Raw genomic sequence first — 16,355 nt, forward strand, 5'->3', positions numbered from 1 at the left:
TTTTAAAGAGACAGAGTCTCACTCTGTCATCCTGGCTGGAGTGCAGTGGCCCAGTAGTAGCTCACTGCAGCCCCAAACTCCTGCGCTCAAGCGATCCTCCCACCTCAGCCTTCTGAGTAGCTGGGATTACAGGCACATGACATCATGCCCGGCTAATGTTTTTTATATTTATATTTTGCAGAGATGGGGCCTCCCTCTGTTGCTAAGGCTGGTCGCAAACTCCTGGGCTCAAGTGATCCCACCTTGGTCTCCCAAAAGAATGCTTTTATATGTAATTTGGAACCATGTAAATGTTTCACAAATTCAAAAAATAAACACAAAAAAGCAAAATATACTACAAATTAACAACGTGACTCCTTAAAGATTTTGAGAACTTAAACACACTGTACTCTGACCAGATATCTTTTGTAGAGAACAAAATAAAGTGGAAAAAAATCATAGAGTATGCCCTAATTCTATCCATCAAAAGGGCAGAGACACCCTAGTGGTAATGAGCACACTCAGCCAGTATACAGCTTGGCTTCTAAATATCATTGCCCAATAACGTGAACTAGGAATCGTTGGTGAAATGTCTGTTTCCAGACCTGGTGCAGGGAAAGTACAAGGTGAACTTAGGACATTTTGTGCCCTGGTTTTGAATGACACTGCCACTTGGCTCTGCCATTTAGTTTCTGTGTGACCTTGGGAAAGTCACTTAACATCCCTGTGCTTTAGTTTCCTCATCCATACAATAGGTCTTATAATAACAGCATATACCTCATAGAATTGTTGGGGGAATTATACATAATATATGTGAAATGGTTAGACAAGTGCCATACTAGGCACTAAGCACTTAAAAACGCATCAAAAAGCTTCCTTGCTCTAAACCTCCACTTAACATTTTAATCATTTTAGATATTCGATGTCTTTGCCTCTAGCATTACTCTATTTCTAGAACTTTAAGCACCCAAGAGCAAACCCATGTCAATCCTAGAGATTTCTAACTCAAAATGGTTCCTAATTGATGCTACTGGATGACATTAAACATAAATAAACCAACACAGAACAGCAGGGAAGATGCGATCGATGCTGAAAAAAATTAAAGTGGAGCTGGATAAGAAATATGCTCATTATAATTACCTCTGGATCTAGTTAAAAAATCTCTAAAATACTCCAAGGTTATACTTTCTATAAATTTCAACCTGATAGAAGTAACCTTTTAGGGAAAAGAAAGTATATAAAGCCCACTGGTGCCAGATCAATCCACCAAGCCTGCCTGGCCTGACCAATTTCTGGTCCACAAATAAAAAATTTGAAGAGAAACTTGAAGAAGTATCAAAAGAAGCATTTAAGCCAGTAGAAGTGGCTCACACCTATAATTCCAGCACTTTGGGAGGCTGAGGCGGGCGGACTGCTTGAACTCAACAGTTTGAGACCAACCTGGGCAGCATGGTGAAATTCCGTCTCTACAAACACCTAAACAATTAGCCAGGTGTGACACATGCCTGTAGTCTCAGGTACTCAGGAGGCTGAGATGGGAGGAGACTGCTTGAGCCCAGGAGGTTGAGACTGCAGTGAGTGGAGATCGCACCACTGCACTCCAGCCTGGGTGACAGAGCAAGACGCTGTCTCAAAAGAAAAAAAAAAAAAGGCAGCATTTACAACCTATCTGGGAGACCTCTAGAGTCGATACTGGAGAAAGTGCTGAAAATGAAAAATCTCTGAGAATACAAAATAGTCCTGTTCACAATGGCATCCAAGGGCTCAACCACCAAGTAATACATGTCAGCTCTAAACTAGGACTTCAGCTGATTTTATAAAAGGAAATTTGGGTTGAAAAGGGTAGGTAAGGAGAGAATGGAACACTCTGAACATAAAGTAAAGCTGCTGTTGTGCTTTTCATATAGTAGGTTCCTGTGTTTTATCACTGGGATAAGATAGAATAAAACACAATTTTGTTCTTATGTTGTGATTTTGAAGGCCAGTTCTAAATTTTTACTTTAAAACATACCATGCCAGGCACAGTGGCTCACGCCTGTAATCCCAGCACTTTGGGAGGCCAAGGCAGGCGGATCACCTGAGGTCAGGAGTTTGAGACCAGCCCGGCCAACGTGGCGAAATCCTGTCTCTACTAAAAATATATAAATTAGCTGTGGTGCACACCTGTATTCCCAGCTACTTGGGAGGTTGAAGCAGGACAAGTGCTTGAACCCGGGAGGCAGAGGTTGCAGTGAGCTGAGATTGCGCCACTGCACTGCAGCCTGGGTGACAGAGCAAGACTCCGACTCAAAAAAAAAAAAAAAAATTATTCTACACCCTACCCACTCAAATCCTCAGCGAACTGCCAATCTATACAGTATGCTTGTGGCGTAATTCTTCATTGAAAGCATCCCCTGCCCATTCTGAGTCACTTTCCAATGTCAGACAATCTCACCCAAAACAAGAACAAATCTCCTAATTTTATGCTTTTAGAACAATGATTCTTAATTCACCTTCCCACAGAGAAAATTATCTTGGTAAATTCTTTTGGAAAAGAACCCACATTCTACAGAGTGACATTTATGATCATTCAAAATAAAACAAATCTAGGCTTCTTTAAAAACGACATTCCTAAAAGTCATGAAGAAAAACAGCTATAAAAAACAATATTGGGACAACTTGGCTACACTGAATATGGACTGTGGATTAGACAAAGTATTTTTTCAATGTTAAATTTCCTAATTTTAATCACTGTGCTGTAAAAATGCCTTTGCTCTTAGAAAATACAAACTGAAGTATTTAGGGGTAAAGGGGTAATGATGTCCACAACTTACTCTCAAATGAATCAGAAAAAAAAGTATGTATAAATAAAAAGTGAAGATTAAAGCAAATGGAACAAAATATTAACAACTGGCGAATCTGGATAAAGGGTATATAGGAGTTTTCTGTAGTATTCATGGAACTTTTCCACACATCTGAAATCATAATACAAAGTTTAAAAAAAAAAATCTAGTCACAAGAATCCATCCTTTCAGTGTAGACTTACCTGTCTCTCACTCACTCGAAGAGGGCCAAACACAATACACTGGATGAGCTTAGCCACCAACATCAAAACACAGCAAGCGGTATTTACTAGAACCTGTAAACAAATCAGAGAAAGGAAGTTTATTTCTTCCTGCTGAAAAATAAAAGCAGCTCTAAAAATCTCATATTAGGAATTCAGCCATCATTTCCAGTGACTGAGCCTTTCTGGTTCTCTCCCAATGCAAGATAAGGAATATCTGAAAAGGCACACTGTTCTGGGGAGTGGGTGTTAGGGATGAGGACCGGAAAGAGAGGCACCAGCTCACCAGCTAAGTCACAGTTCTTGTCCCAATACGCACCCTCCAGCAGGCCACCTTATCTTTCATCCTTAACTGAATTGTGTGTATACTTTGTACTGTATGTGCAAAACTACATTAACCTCGTAAACTGCAGGTCCTTCCCAAGTACCTCATTTCCGACATTATTTTGACAGCCTTGAAGAAAACTGTTCTAGAAATTGAAGTTACCGTGAATAGTAAAACCCAGCACCCAGAGATTCTGCCCTGCCAAACAAATAGGAGGTAGGGGTAGGAGTGTGGATGGTCACAAAAAAGTCTCATCATAAGGAACTAATAATATAAATATATATATACAGAGAGAATATTTTAATATTTATTGGAATGGAAAAATCTTTCAACCAAAAGATAAATGTTCTCCATGCTTGGTGTTGGCTTTGAAGTAAAGGTTTTGTGGCACTGCAGCAGGGTGGAATGGGTTAAACAGAAGGAAAAGAAAACCGGCGAGAGGGGCCAAGAGATGAAAGGCAACCTGGGGATACCAATGCAAAACCAAGGCCTTCTTCAACAGTCTATGAGAAAACTTGAAAAACAAAACAAAACAAAACAAAACTCTAAATGATGAATATCCTTACACCTAAACGCCAAATCTTAATGCTTACAAAATGGAAGAGTTGGCTGTCCCCAACCCAGAGATTAGTGTGGGGTATCACATTACTCTGAATGACTCCAAAAAGCCAAAAGGACCTTGATAAAAACAGTACAGATGACTTGTTGAGAGCAAATGAAAAGGAACTCCAATTCAATGTAAAGCTGCTTCTGCCTCTGATTCACTACGTTTACCATATTACCCTTGCCAAGTCATTCTTCCCTCTACTTTTAAAAGCAAATGATAATTTTAAAGAAGAAAGAAAGGGGATAGAGGAGAGTAATTTAAGAAAGCAAGATCCCTGAGATCACCTCAGGGTCTGTTTAGTACCTCATGCCATCCCTCCTTTGGGAGAACACTTAAGGGCAGCCCTGATTCATTACAAATGATTAAATTTAGTTCTATTCTGTCTGCCTAATGGGCCAAGGAAGTATGTAATACATTTTTAAAGGATTGAAACGAAAATAGTTCTGCTAAAGAAATAAACTGTTTTGGTACTTAAATCCTTCAAACAACCAGGAACAAACGCCCAAACTAGTTGCCCCAAATATCCTAATCTGTGTAACAGACCTATTCAAAATGGTCCAGATCACCAGGAGCATGGTGGCTCACACTTGTAATCCTGGCACTTTGGGAGACCAAGGTGGGAGGACTGCTTGAGGCCAGGAATTTGAGACCAGCCTGGGCAACACAGCAAAACCTTGCCCCTACTGAAAAATATATAAAATTTTTTAAAAAGAAAAAACAATTCAGGTAACTTGAAATGTTCATTTTTAAGGTGATGAAATAGATGCTAAAAAGACTCACCTTCATTGTGATCTAACCAATCTCAGCCACATTAACTAAGAGAAATGTCATAAGACAAAACCACAACCCCTCATGTCACATCCCCCAGCCAAACATGCCCCAGCTTTATTACGACGCAATTTCTTAAAATAATTCTTCCCGTTTTTACATGTAGTCAGTCATATGAATTTAAAAAATAAATGCAACACATTTAGCACTTGTTCGAGGCATGTGGGAAATCAGAAAAATGAGGGAGCTCTGAACCCTAAACTCAAAGAGCTTTTAGAATCTACAAGAGATAGAGCATGGTAAGCAATTTAACAGAAGGCCAAGCAGGCTACTACGAGAGTAATGATGGAGAAAAAAAACAAATTTAGGGTCACTTAAACATTTCTCTATTCAAAACAGTACTGTCACACACATCTTAAGTTATCAAATAAAAAATAAAGTATTATTTACTATTTCTCAAACTCTTTAAATAAAAGTCTATTTATTTATTTTTTTTCTGACAGTCTCACTCTGTTGCCCAAACTAAAGCACAATGGTGCAATCTCCGCTCACTGCAACCTCGGCCTTCCAGGTTCAAGCTATTCTCCTGTATCAGCCTCCCAAGTAGCTGGGATTACAGGTGTGAGCTACCACACTAATTTTTGAATTTTTTTATAGAGACATGGTTTCACCATGCTGCCCAGGCTGGTCTCGAACTCCTGGGCTCAAGTGATCCGTCTGCCTCGGCCTCCCAAAGTACTGGGATTACAGGCATGAGCCACTGCGCCCAGCCTAAATAAGTCTTTGAATTCAAATAAGGTATAAAAAATGTGTATCTTTAATTTATCCAAAAAAAGGTAAAAGTCTCTTATAATCCCATCACCCATAGAACAACCACTTCCTATTTTAATTTAAATGAAGATTTGAAAATTAACATGGCTAACCAGGAAAAAAAAAAAAAAAGTCTGAGTATACTGATACTAAAAAGGGAATTTATGTAAAAAGTAGATAAGCTGTTGTGAACTTTGTAACCAAAGCTACAAAGGATTGAAAGCAATCCTTATTTTAAGATTATAAGCAAAGTTTTTTAAAACACCTTAATGATTATTAATAACTATTCCATGTCTATTTATAGAAAAATACCTTAATTATAATGATTATATGTTAATTACAAATACTGACCTGGCACAGTATCTCGCACCTATAATCCCAGCACTTTCGGAGGCCAAGGTGGGGGGATTGCTTGAACTCAGGAGTTCAAGACCAGCCTGGCCAACATAGTGAAACCCCATCTCCACAAAAGATACAAAAATTAGCCGGGTGGGGTGGTGTGCACCTGTAGTCCCAGCTACTGAGGAGGCTGAGGTGGGAGGATCTCTTGAGCCCAGGAGGTCAAGGCTGCAGGGAACCGTGATTGCACCACTGTACTGCTCCAGCCTGAGCAACATAGTGAGGCCTTGTCTCAAATAAATAAATAAATAATATTGTGTCATACATATAACTTCTCAACTTCAGTTAACAAAGGCTTGAAAAATTGTAAATACAATTGAGCAACCCTGATGCAAAAATCCAAAATCTGAAATGCTCCAAAATCCAAAACTTTCTGAGCACCAACATGGCGTCACAAGTGGAAAATTCCACACCTGACCTCATGTGACGAGTCGCAGTCAAAATGCAGACTTACAACAGTTTACTCAGTGTCCCTAAGGGAAAAATGAAACTACCTTCAGGGTATGTGTATGAATGAGATGTATATGAAACAGAGGAATTTCATGTTTACATTTGGGTCCCATCCCCAAAATATTTCATTATGTATATGCAAATATTCCAAAATCCAGGAAAAAAATCCCAAATCCAAAACTTCGGGTCCCAAGCATTTTGGATAAAGTATTCTCAACCTATACTGAAAGAAACATAACTGGAGCATTCCTCATTTAAAAGCACTGGCTCATGTCTATAATCCCAGTACTTTGGAAGGCCAAGGTGGGTGAGTTGCTTGAGTCCAGGGGTTCGAGACCAGACTGAGCAACATGGCAAAACCCCATCTCTACTAAAAACACAACAAATGTAGCCAGGCATGGTGGTGTGTGCCTGTAGTCCCAGCTACTTGGGAGGCTAAGGTGGGAGAATCACCCTAGACACAGGGAGGTTGAGGCTGCAATAAGCCCAAATAGCATCACTGTACTCTAGCCTGGGCAATCGGAGTGAGACTCTGATTCAAAAAAAAAAAAAAAAACTGCTTAAAAAAAGTAAACTAAAATAAAATAAATCCCTGAATCAGGCACAGTGGAACATGCCTGTAATCCCAGCACTTTGGGAGGCTGACGAGGGAGAATCACGACGTCAGGAGTTCAAGACCAGCCTGACCAACATGGTGCAACCCCATCTCTACTAAAAATACAAAAATTAGCCAGGGGTGGTAGTGCTCTCCTGTAATCCCAGCTAGTCAGGAGGCTGAAGCAGGAGAATCGCTTGAACCCGGGAGGCGTAGGTTGCAGTGAGCCGAGATCATGCCACTGCACTCCAGCCTAGGTGACAGAGTGAGACTCCATCTCAAAAAAAAACAAAAAACAAAAAAACGCCAGGCGCACTGGCTCACACCTGTAATCCCAGCACTTTGGGAGGCCGAGGCGGGCGGATCACGAGGTCAGGAGATCGAGACCATCCTGGTTAACTCAGTCAAACTCCATCTCTACTAAAAATACAAAAAATTATCCGGGCACATGGTGGGCGCCTGTAGTCCCAGCTATTCAGGAGGCTGAGGCAGGAGAATGGAGTGAACCTGGGAGGCGGAGCTTGCAGTGAACCGAGATCGCGCCACTGCACTCCAGCCTGGGCAACAGAGCGAGACTCCGTCTCAAAAAAAAAAAGGAAATATGTGCACACACGTTTGTATAATATGTAGGTGTGAACTGTCAAGGACTTGATCAATTTGGGTATTTCTTAGTCTCCTACTTAACAACAGTACTTATTACAAGAATTTGATAATTGCCATTTCTGGAAGAGAGAAGCAGGTAACAGGGAGAGAGAGAGATCTACTTTTCACTGCATGTCACTTCTGTATCCCTTAACTTTTTTTTTTTTTTTTAATTTTAGACAGAGTCTCACTCTGTCGCCCGGGCTGGACTGCAGCGGCGCATTCTTGGCTCACTGCAACTTCCACCTCCCAGGTTCAAGCGATTCTCCTGCCTCAGCTTCCCAAGTAGCTGAGATTACAGGCACCTGCCACCATGCCTGGCTAATTTTTGTATTTTTAGTAGAGACGGGTTTCACCATGTTGGTCAGGCTGGTCTCAATCTCCTGACCTCAGGTGATCCTCCCACCTCGGCCTCCCAAAGTGCTGAGATTACAGGTGTGAGCCACCATGCCAGGCCTGTACCCCTTAACTTTTGTACCCTGAGCATGCATTATCTATTTTTTAAAATTTTTTTAAAGTTTAGAATCTACTAAACTAACCTGACTAGTTCTGCAATTCCACATTATTTTTCTCACCATATGATGACAAACTGATGAGTAACAAACCAAAACAAGTTCTCCTGTTACAGCACAGTATTTCAACTATGGCCAGGCGTGGTGGCTCATGCCTGTAATCTCAGCACTTTGGGAGGCCAAGGTTAGTGGATCACCTGAGGTCAGCAGTTCAAGACCAGCCTGGCCAACATGGTGAAATCCCGTGTCTACTAAAAATACAAAAAATTAGCTGGGCATGGTGGTGCACACCTGTAATCTCAGCTACTTGGGTGGCTGAGGCAGGAGAATTGCTTGAACCCAGGAGGCGGAGATTGCAGTGAGCCGAGATTGTGCCATTGCACTCCAGCCTGGGCGACAGAGAAAGACTCTGACTCAAAAAAAAAAAAATTCAACTATATTAAAACACTTCAGAATGTTTCTCATAGCTATAGTGCTGTCAAAGCTTCAAGTCATTTTTTAAAAACTCACCAAATGCCTTTTTTTTCCAGTCTACACAAAATAAAAACAAGTTTTACTTGTCCCCGTTCAGAGTGTAGCAGGTCAGGCAGCAGTGATCCCAGCAACCCTGACTTACTCAAGGCTCAAAGTTAATTCCCTTCACTCCAAGGCCCAGCAGGAAAATGTCCCTTCCAGAATGGTTCTACTCTTCTACTGGAGAAAACAGAAACTAAATTATAAAATAGTTAGGCCTGCCTGGGAGAAAAAGAGAGGAAGGTGCATTTATCACCATGTAACCCTACAGGTGTTTTTGACCCTGTAAAATGTTGGCCACCAACAGGTGCTTATTTATGACCTTGCAAAGACATGGGATTAAACTACTAGGAACCTATTCCAAGACATGGTCAATCTGGATATTTCTTAGACTCCTGCCTACACCAGCACCACTCCCCTGCGCCCCCTACCATTTGGTGGTTTCCTCCCTTTAAGGACAATTCACGTATTGTTACCTCTCTGCAGGCTCCCAGAAACAAACACATAATACAAACATGCACACACTCCCCTTCATCACATAGATGATAACTGTGTTCCTTCTTTAACAAGACTAGGGAAATAGACGAGAGTCCGCACGCAAAGCATACCTAGGAGGTGATCAAATAGCAGTCCCCTTCTCCCTCACCTGGAAGACATTCCTTTTATTTTTAATTTATCTAGGCTCACATCCAATTATTCACAAGTTTAGTCTTTTTTCCTTCAGCTGCCCCAACATTTCTGGAGCTAACATTTTTCCCTCATATACCTTGAAATAGTCAACTCATAAAGACTAAAACCTAGGAAGTCACTTTCAGCTCTTAATTTTGTTTTGTTTTTTTTTTTTGAGACCAGAGTCTCACTCTGGCCCAAACTGCAGTGCAGTGGCACAATCATAGCTCACTGTAACCTTGAGCTTCTGGGTTCAAGCAATCCTCCTGCCTCAGCCTCCCAAGCAGCTAGGACTACAGCACAGGCCACTACACTTAATTTGCATAATTAAGTCAGAACCTTGACAGTAGTTTCATATTTCTATTTCTCCATTTACATGTCTTGCTCTTAGAATTTTAGAAGCAGGTATTTTATATCTTTAAAGGGTTGTAAAACAAATTAAATAAGGAAGTTGCAGAGCCTAAAATATTCACCATCTGAGAGCACTTTAGAGAAAAATTGGCTGACTCTTATTTTAAAAAGCCTATTTTCACATAATTATAATGGTGACTAATTTTTTTTTTTTTTTTGGTAGAGCAGGGGGTCTCACTATGTTGCCCAGACTCCTGGGCAGCTCCTGGCCTCAAGCAATCCTCCACCTCCTGCCTCAGCCTCCGCCTCTCAAACTGCTGAGACTGCCGGTGTGAACCACTGAACCCAGCCCTTAAGTTTTATAATAATACGAAAATCGGCTCTTTAAAATAGGATTCAGCCAATTTTTCTCTAAAGTGCTCTCAGATAGTGAATATTTTAGGCTCTGCAACTTCCTTAATTTATTTAATTTGTTTTACAACCCTTTAAAAATATAAAAACCATTCTTAGCTGTTAAGACAAAAACAGGCCTAGTCAAATAGGTCACGAGTTTGCCAATCCCTGTTCTAAATGGTCAATTCACTTTTATCCACTTTTGTTTGTGGTCATTTTTCCCCTTGAGAGTTCTATTTAAATGATATTATTTGCATAATTAAGTCAGAACCTTGACATTAGTTTCATATTTCTATTTCTCCATTCACGTATCTTGCTCTTAGAATTTTAGAAGCAGATATTTAAGAAAGCAGAAAAGGGAACTAATAAAAGTAATGAGTAAGAATTAAAAAATGAAAAAGCCAAAACACCTGAACAATCCAAAACCATGCTAGAATGGACCAAGAGGTAGCTGAATGGAAGCATTATCTGAGCAATGTAAAATAGCCCAGAAATGAGTAACAAAATAAAAACTCATCTGAAATGAAACTTTAGGATGGAAGTTTTAGAAAGACAAGGAGAAACAAATTCTCAGGTCAAACCCACATATTTGTTAGTGTAAAAACCCTGAAGTCTCCTCCCAAATCCTTTCTCAATGTCATGCCTGAGGGCCACCTGGAGAGGCCCCCTTGGGAGGAGGAAGTTTTAGGTCACTAGATCTCCCGTCCTCTTCCCACTCTACATAAATCTATCTTCCACACTGCTCCCAATCTTCTAAAAGAAATCATGCCAGCACCCCCACTCCTCCATGCCCCACCCCCACTTAAGCCCCATCAATGGCTTCTCTCACTCCACAAAATACTGTCCACACTTGGTAGAGCAAGCAAGGTCAAGGTTACATGACATCACACTCTAGCCTCTTCCTAGGTCAGTTTTTCAACCACTAGTGTTCCTCAAATCACCTAGGGCATTCATTAAAATGAAGATTCCAAGGCTCCACCCTTCTCTCTGAAATGGATCCCCAGGGAAACTACATTTTACAAGTACCCCAGATGACCACATACCAGGATGCCAGAGGTCCACATTTTGAGAAAGAAACCTTCAAGGGGGTTGCTCACCTCCTCCTCTCACAGCAGAGCCACCTGCCCCACCTCCTTCACCTCCTCCCCACCTCCTTCACCCCCGGTCTCCTCTTCACCTTCTCAACCTCCCTCTTAAATCAGAAGATTCAACAGACTTTTAATTTAACAGCCCAGCTTCCGGACCACCCTGCCTGTGCCTAGCACTGTCCTCCCCACGCCAGACCGAGCTCCACATGCTGGTTTCTCTATCTGGAATACCCATTGCTACTGGTTGAGACCCTTCCCACCTTCCAAGCTGGTTCAAACACCACCTTCCATGAACCCTTCCCTGGGCACAATTCCTTTCTTTTTCCTCCAAACTCTGCTTCATTTTATTTATCTATTATCCCCTATAAAATTTTGCCATATTACTGAGGGTAGGGGAAAGTGTTGTTCACAGATATGCCCTCCAAAGTGCCCAAAATAACACCTTCGAAAGGTTTTAAATTGTGTTTGTTCATGAAAAACCTCCTGTGATGCTATCAGACCGATATTATTCTAAACTGTGCTCTAAAAAGATAAGTTTTGGGAATTACAATATGTTAATATCTAGCAGGACTTGCACTGGCAGAAGGATCAGTCTTTGTTTTGTCTTGCTTGGCCTTGGCAGGCAGTGTTCGTGAAAAAGTTGAATCTGAATTCAATAGAACTAGGGGAGGGCGCAAGGAGGATCCAGTTGACAAAGGCACCACCACATAGGGTATTCACTCAACAATCTTAATCTGTCCCACCACTGGGGAAGGCTTTTGAGATTGTCACTTCTACTCAGCTGCTAAAGCAGAAACTACATATACACTGAGTGATGAGACAAACAGTGAGCACATGGAGGGTCTGAGAAACCAAAGCAGGCCAAAGTAAACACGTGGAGACCCCAGAGGAAAGATGGAAGAAAAACAGCACTAGGATCAACTGAGAAATGAAAATATCATCAGCGGAGAGTAAGAAGTGATAAACCTGCCAGAGGTAAGACCTCTACTGAAAATGCTGGAAGAAAAGGAAATTTCCTAAAAAGTAATCATCATCACAGAAAAATCAACAGCTTTTATGTAATGTTTTCTGAAGAGATATTAACTTTAGAATCTGAACATGGCTTTTATCAAAATAAAGTCCTGCGGGGGGAAATCCATTAAACAATACCAGTGTTGTTATATAAATAAAATAAGGGTTCCTTCTCAAAGGCTTATTTATATCTTAGACTTAAAAAATATCAAAGACTACATTATAATCTTAACATGGCAAAAACACTCTCCATATCACTTTGTTTACCTGCTAACTCAAATGCAAAAACAGATTTGAAATTAAGCAAGAGATGTGAGTTGAGTTCTTTCGCTTCTCCCTTCTTTAGGACTGTAAAGTTCAGCTTTACACAGCAGTAGATAAACAGGAACTTCACCCTTCACTGCCTTCTACTAAACTCTCCATCAGAAGGACCAGGAGACTTAATCTACAGCCCACAGAGTCCATAAATCCCACCGCTTCCTGATGAAGCACAGTGGGACTAATTATAACAAATGAGTTGCATATCATACTATCAACTTGGAATATTAATCTCTCAGTCATTTACAGCCCACTTTCAACCCCAAATGGGAACATGCAAGGAGACAAGATCCAAGAAGCCATATTAAATCCAAGTGAGGCTTTAAATCCTGGAGAAACTTTTCTGATCACTGCGGGATTTACATAAGTATTCAAGGCCAAGATGAAAGCAAAATTCTCTAGCCAAAATACCGTTGATCTGATCAGTCTGAAATTATCTGTTCTAATGAACGAAACCAGCATGTGTGCCTTATCAATGCTGCTTATCTCGCAGGGGCAGACAACCTGGAAACTGTGTTAGAATAGATCCTCAAATAAGAAACATTCAGTTAAAATGATGGGCTGCCTCTTGACACTGTGAATGTTTTGCTGCGTTCAGACATCAAAGGAAAACTGTCATGAACATCAGGTAAAGGCAGCAGAAAAGGAAGCACAGTTTGGTGTTTGTTTCATTACACAGCTCCCAAAGGGGACAATCGAATACTAAGCGGCAAAAAAGTTGTGGGAGACGGCCTCTCTCCAACCGGAATGTCCAAAGACACCTGAGTGCCGAAAATTCCCCCATACTCAACGTCTGAATTCTCCCCTCTGCCCTCTCCTCTTCGTCGGAAGAAAATCCGCTAACAATCCCATGCCTGACCAAGTGGGAAAAGCTTTCAACTTCACTCTACTTCGTCCAACCCTCGGGATAACGCACTCCCAGATCCCGACCTCCCCTTGAACCTGCCCTCTGAGATCTTCTAGTTTCTCCCGAGGGTCCCTCAGAAAACCCAGCCCGTTCCTCCCCACTGCCCCTTAACCCCTTCCCCTGCCCCAGGCCCCGTCCGCGCCCCAGCGCAGACCATCACCCGCCGCCTCCCCGACCCCCTTCCCGGAGCCCTCAACGCTGGCCTGCCCCTCGGGGCCTCCTCCTCGCAACCCCACGCGATGTTCCTCCCGCCCGCGGCCCCCTCCCCCTCCCCGCGCCTCACCACTCTCCCTCAGCAGCGCTCCCGCGAGCAAGGCCGCGCCCCCCAGGCGCTCGCCCTCGGGGGTCCCTGGCGGAGGGGCCCCTAGGCCCACCACGCCCCCGCGGATAAAGGGTGACGCAGCGGACCCCGCCCCTGCCCCGCGGGCCCGGCCGCCTCGCTCACCCACACGAAGAGGCTGTCTGAGAGCAGGTACTGGGCCACATCGCGGGCCCGGGGTCCCCCGGCGCTCGGCCGGGCGGGCGCCGGCGGCTCAGGCTGCAGCGAGGCCGTTAGCTGGTCCGGCTCGCCGGGGCCGGCCTCGGGCTGGCTGAGCGCGCGGTAGGCGCTGATGATGGTGCCCAGCAGGGCCAGGCCGCTGAGGCCCGTGTAGGTGCGGAGGCTGGGCCAGGGGAAGCGCTCGAGGAAGAGCAGCGGCATGGCGGCAGCGGCGACCTCTGGCCCCCAGGCTTCCCTGCGCTGCGGCCGGGCCTCTGCGGCGGCCTCGCGAACGGCGCCCACGGGCTCTGGCGTCGCTGCCGCTGCCGCTGCCGCCGCCGCCGCCGCGCCGGGCCGGGCCGGGCCGCTCCTGGCTGCTGGCGCCGCTCCGCCCCGCGCTGCTCCCGCTGCTGCCCCTGCCGGCGCGGAAGAGCCTGGGCGGGCTCGGGACAGGCCGCCGCCCCCAGCGGGACGCTGGCGGGACGGGCGCAGGGGCGCGGCCTTCGTCCCCCGCCCCCAGCGGTCGCGCCGCCGCCTAGCGGGCGTAGCCCCGGGCCTCAGGCCGGGGGGCGGGCACCCAGCATCATCCGCCGTCCGCACCACGGCTTGGCTGGGCCCGCAGACACAGAGGGCACCTGCTCCGGCCGCGGCGCAGGGGTCACTCGGGCTCGCAGGCGCTGGCAGGCGGGCAGGGCCTCAGGGCGCGGGGCACCCTGGCCACCAGGCCGTCGGCCACTTGCCCCCCCCCCACCCCATTAACCCTCTGAAGAGGTTACCCCCAGCACTCCTAGGGGCCGCGCAGCTTCCCTGGTGCCCGAAACCCCAGAAGAAAGAATATTAACAGTCTTTCAAGTTTCTGCTGTTTGCTAGTAGCCTCCAGCAGAAACTAAAAAATGAACCTGATTTAGCGGGAAATAAAAATGTGTTCCCTCATACCCCAGAAGTGAGAATGTCAAATGGTGCAGCTGTCTTGGAAAATAACCTGTCCTTTCCTTAAAGTCAAACAAGAGTGACCATTTGACCCAGTAATTCCACTCCTCTAAGAAAAGTGGAAACATACCTCCACACAAAACTTGTACACAAATGTTGATTACATTCTAACAATCAAAAGATGGGAACAACGCTAATGTCCGTCAAGCGATGAGTGGATAAATGTGATACATCCATAAAATGTACTATTCGGCCATAAAAATGAACTACTGATACATGCTACAATAGGAACGAACCTTAAACACGTGCTAAGTCAAAGAAGACAGCCACAAAGGTCCACGTGTTGTGTGATTCCATTGATATGAAATGTCCACAATAGGCAAGTACATATACAGACACAGAAAGTTGATTAATGATTGCTTAGGGATGGGAGGAAGAGGGGAGTAGGGGGTGATAAAGGGTGCAGGTTTCTTTTAAGAGACAGGGTCTGTGGCCCAGGCTAGAGTACAGTGGCATGCTCACTGCATCCTCCATCTCCTGGACTCAAGAAATCTTCCTGCTTCAGTCTCTCCAGTAGCTGGGATTACAGGCGTATGCCACCACACCTGGCTAATTTTTAATTTTTGGTAGAGACAGCGTCTTGCTATGTTGTCCAGACCAGTCTGTGGCTCCTGAGCTCAAGTGATCCTCCCACCTTGCCTTCACAAAGTGCAGGGATTACAGGCGTGAGTCACTGGCTGGGATAGGTTTGTTTTCAAAGTAATGAAAATGTAAAATTGAGGTGATGATTGCCCAACTCTGAATTGAAAAATCATTGTACACTTTAAATAGTTCTATCTCAATATGCGAATTGTATCTCAATAAGCTGTTACCAAAGGAAAAAAATGTTACCTTGGGAGTTTTATTCCTTTTGCATCCCCAGGGCCTGTAAGAGTTCTCAGCCCAGAGTAGGTGCTCTGTAAATATTTGTAGGATTTTCCAAACTTTCTAAAGAAAAGGACCAAATTATCTTTCAAGGTCTTTTTCATGCCTAATATTCTAAAAGTCTATTAACTAGAAAACAAAAGATCTCTCAAGCTTACAATTCCACTTTGGAAATTTTAGAAACATCTTGTTAAAGGGTCTTTGATGAACGTTTGGCTTTACCGGGACAGGGAGAGGCCTTACCTTTGCACACGTGCATTTTTTTAATACAAGGTCTATATGAATACTAGACTTGAATTCACTTTGGTTCTCTTCCCACAGCCATGCAATTAAAATGCTAAACTTTAAACTTTATCAGTAAAATAAAGGAAAGCTTTATTTTGAAAAACTATTGTAATTTTCCAGGGAAGTGTTCTACTTTACAGGTCAAGATCTGAGCCACCATAACTTTTAAACCACTGACTGGCAATCTTTATTCAATCCTAGCCACAGTAGTTCTAAACTGTCACAAACCAAATTTGTCCCATCACCCTTAGAAACAGGCTGCTGTTAACAGATCTGCCCTTATTAAACTTTTAGAAGCTTGAACCTTCTGAAACTTCACATGAATGGGGGAAGTTAACCCAAAAGAACGTAAATCGTT

General features: G+C 43.7%; 1 protein-coding gene across 4 annotated transcripts in view, besides 1 other annotated feature; it reads right to left on the bottom strand.

The window, feature by feature from the left end:
• The window catches only part of AMFR (autocrine motility factor receptor), a 64,094-nt gene extending 49,796 nt beyond the window's left edge, over positions 1–14,298 (bottom strand). For 2 of the 4 annotated variants that reach the window (NM_001144.6, NM_001323512.2), the window contains exons 1-2: positions 13,826–14,298; positions 3,005–3,097 (exon numbers count right to left, since the gene is read on the bottom strand). In NM_001144.6, the coding sequence (NP_001135.3) occupies positions 3,005–3,097; positions 13,826–14,080 (348 nt within the window). In that variant the 5' untranslated portion in view covers positions 14,081–14,298. Of the gene's footprint in view, positions 1–3,004; positions 3,098–12,422; positions 13,488–13,663; positions 13,743–13,825 lie in introns of those variants that run through there. The other 2 variants (NM_001323511.2, XM_005255890.5) reach the window with 2 other exon arrangements.
• Positions 13,639–14,698: a silencer, noted in NCBI's record as "silent region_7507". NCBI's record gives its function as "represses an Ori minimal core promoter by ATAC-STARR-seq in GM12878 lymphoblastoid cells {active_cell/tissue: GM12878}" and the evidence as "EXISTENCE:reporter gene assay evidence [ECO:0000049][PMID:35858748]".

Source organism: Homo sapiens, chromosome 16 (genome assembly GCF_000001405.40).
Source record: "Homo sapiens chromosome 16, GRCh38.p14 Primary Assembly".
Classification (NCBI taxonomy): Eukaryota; Metazoa; Chordata; class Mammalia; order Primates; family Hominidae; genus Homo; species Homo sapiens.